Here is a 3,569-nt window from a genome sequence, read left to right on the forward strand (position 1 = left end):
TTTGCAAAAAAGCTCTCCCAATTTTTAGAGAGCAGGACGAGTTTTCAGAGGTCTCCACTCACTGAGTTCTTACAAAAGCCCACCACTGCACACAGGAATGCTGAGCAGTGGCCCCCAGGCAGGTGAGATGCCACTCAGCTACTGAATGCCCAGTTTGCTTAACCAAGTCAGGCACTGACTGCATAAAATTATTGTGCAAATAAGGGTCACTGGCATCGTGAAGTTTTATATCAGAGCCGACGAGGAAAGAGCCATCCACACCCTGACACCACACAGATAAATGCACTGAGGAACTGGAGGCCGCTCAAGACACCTTGTGTGGTTTTCTGAGAGCCAATTTGAGCCCCTGCGGGGGGCACGGCACTCTCAAAGGCAGGCGCCAAAGGAGGTGCACTGAGCTCTGGGACAGGCTGCGTCGGCAGGCGCCAAAGGAGGTGCACTGAGCTCTGGGACAGGCTGCGTCGGCAGGCGCCAAAGGAGGTGCACTGAGCTCTGGGACAGGCTGAGTCGTCTGCACACTCCCCGCCGTGGCCTTTGCTGGTCCCCTGCATTCCAGGGCGGTTCTGCATGGGGAGAACCAGCCTGCAACCCATGAGAGGCAAGAGGACCAGTGCTGCCCAGTCCTGTGTTGAGCAAGAAGACAGCTTGAGGCTCACGCTGTTCATTCACTCGGCAGTTACTTCCTGGGCACCCGCCCGTCACAGGCTAGGCTCCATGCCAGGCTCAGGATGCACCAAGAACAAAACGGCTTCCTGGTCTGTGGGGCTTGTACTTCAGCGGATCTCATTAGAGCCCCGTCTTCCATAGCCTAACTCAGTAATCCCATACACAGACAACAACAAAATCTGCGAGTATCCACTGAGCGTGAGCTATGTCCAGGGTTTGCAAACTTCATCCCGTCTATCTGGTTATTCCATCAACCGGTACTTACTGGGACCCTGTCATGCAGCAGCCATATTTGGTTGTTTCATTTATTTATTTTATTTTGAGACGAGGTCTCGCTCTGTCACCCAGACTGGGGTGCAGTGGTGCAATCACAGCTCACTGCAGCCTTGATCTCCCAGGCTCAAGCGAGATTCCCACTTCAGCCTCATGATTAGCTGGGACCAGAGGTGTGTGCCAACACGCCCGGCTAATTTTTGTATTTTTTGTAGAGAGGGGGTTTCACCATATTGCCCACTCTGGTCTCAAACTCCTGGGCTCAAGTGATCCTCCCACCTCAGCCTCCCAGGATGCTGGGATGACAGGCATGGGCCACCGCATCCGGCCCATGCACATTCTTGAAGTTAGGGATACAGAAAAGGACAGCAGAGGCCCAACTCTGAGCCCCACAGACCCACTCGTGAACAGACACACAGCAAACACTGAGGAGTAGCTGGTGAGAGGGAGGGCTGATCTAAGGAGCGGTCGAGGAAGCCACCGTAATCACCCTATTTAATAAATGTGAGAGGTTATGAGTTGTCTAAGGTCACCTCCTGGCATGAGTGCAGCTGAAAGCCAAGGGCAGATGGGCCTGAGTCTGCCATCTTGTCCTCCTGTTCTCCACAAATGATCCTGTTTCGATTTCAAACCCTTGATGTATCCTCTGGCCCCTTCTAGAACGCCCACCCAACAGGAAGCCTGGTCCGTCCAACCCTGCCCTTCGTTATGCTATCGCTCTGTGTTCTTGCTGGGTGTGTGTGTGTGAATGTATGAGTGTGATTGAGTGTGAGTGTGTCGCAGGTGTGCAAGCCTTGTGCCCTCAACAGATTATAAAGGACTAGTCTCTTTTCAAATTTACATAAACACCTTGCGTGTGGCTGCACATGCACTCAATACCAAACTAATCACAATTTGACAAAGGATAAAGCTGCGCCGAAAAGTGGAATATCTCTATGAATCAATAGCCAAGTTACTGTGGCGGAAGATACCTAAAGAAGTGGCCCTGAGGTTCTCACACAACCAGCAAGGCCAAGGCCGCCCATGCACCTCAGTGCCCACCGTGCCACAGGTGCAATCGGAGAGGTGGATGGTGTGAAATGTTTGTTATGTGAGAATGAGAGGAACGCATCTGACAGGTTCCTGTCCCCAAATAGAGCACACACCCTTCACTCTGGACCTGCACAGGGAATCCTTCTCATCCTTCTTTCTCTCAAACTGTCCTATGGATAATCTGAAAATTTAGTGAGTTTAGAAATTTAACTCACTTCTCTTTTTTTCCCTTCAGTACCAGGCTGAGAAAGAACCCAGAGGAATTGGAGAGACCAGGAACGGCTGCAGGCGAAAGAGGTGAATATTCTGCCAAGCTCCCTGGCTGCTGACCTCCAGTGGGCTGATCCAGTTGAGAAACCTGCCTGAGGAGACATCTCGCTGCCCTGCGTGTGGAGGTCGGGCGAACAGACTGGCTGCCCGTCATGGGCTGCCCACCATGACCTCTCTGCCCCATCCTCCCCACTCCTAGCCCAAGGAGTATGAAACCTAACGTGAGCTCAGCCGCTGGAGCCTTGCCATCATTTCCCTAAGGGCTCTGCACAGCCCCGTGGCCGAGAAGTCCCACCTGGGAAGAAGGTTTGGTGGCCTCCAGGAGAGTCTGTGGGTGTCCCTGCCAGGGCCCAGGCCCACCCACCTTCACTCACACTTTCTTTCTGTTTATTGTTTTACAGTTTCCATTTTACCTTTCTTACAAGTTACACTATTACTATTTTCTATTAATTTAAATTGACATAAATTTAGCTTTACACTTACATCTACCTTGGATCTTTCCCAGCTGTTGAAATTATTCTATTTCTTCTTTTTATCACTATTCTGAGCTTATTTTATCTTTTTGCTTTGTACCTTCTAAGTTTTTTGTTCCATTATATCTTATTTGCTCTTAACTCTTATTTTGCCTTTTATCTATTTTTATGTTTTCTTTTAGTATTTTTTTCTCAGAATTTCTTTTCACCGTTATTTATTTCATCCTTATCCTCAGTTTGCCATCCAAGGAATGGCCACAGCCTGTCAATTCTGTTTCTTGAATGCCTCCTGACGTCCTTCCCTGTCCACCCCAGCTTCTGGTGCCTGCACACACACACACTCACACACACTTCTGTCCTCCATACACTCACACTCATACACGTGTATTCTTACACACCACCCACAGGCACCCTCAGGTCCTTACACTCACACTCTCTACCCCTCATGTTTTCTGTCCCCCCCCCACACACACACACCTACACTCACCTACACACACATTTTCTCCCCTCACACTCACACTCTCCACCCCCATGCCCTCCTCGGCTGGAGCTCCCTCCTTCTCTTCTCAGCCTTTGAACTGGCCTCCTGCCTGGGGCTCCCTCCTTCCCTTCTCAGCCACTGAACTGGCCTGCTGCCTGGGGCTCCCTCCTTCCCTTCTCAGCCTCTGAACTGGCCTCCTGCCTGGGGCTCCCTCCTTCTCTTCTCAGCCTCTGAACTGGCCTCCTGCCTGGGGCTCCCTCCTTCTCTTCTCAGCCTCTGAACTGGCCTCCTGCCTGGGGCTCCCACCCTCCTTCCCTCCTCAGCCTTTGAACTGGCCTCCTGCCTGGGGCTCCCTCCTTCCCTTCTCAGCCTCT

General features: G+C 51.5%; 1 annotated feature.

Annotated features, from left to right (window-relative positions):
• Nucleotides 466-972: an enhancer, noted in NCBI's record as "H3K4me1 hESC enhancer chr18:76589119-76589625 (GRCh37/hg19 assembly coordinates)". NCBI's record gives its function as "activates a minimal SCP1, AML or CMV promoter by ChIP-STARR-seq in primed H9 embryonic stem cells {active_cell/tissue: H9 hESC(primed)}" and the evidence as "EXISTENCE:reporter gene assay evidence [ECO:0000049][PMID:30033119]".

This window comes from Homo sapiens, chromosome 18 (assembly GCF_000001405.40).
Source record: "Homo sapiens chromosome 18, GRCh38.p14 Primary Assembly".
NCBI classification, from domain to species: domain Eukaryota; kingdom Metazoa; phylum Chordata; class Mammalia; order Primates; family Hominidae; genus Homo; species Homo sapiens.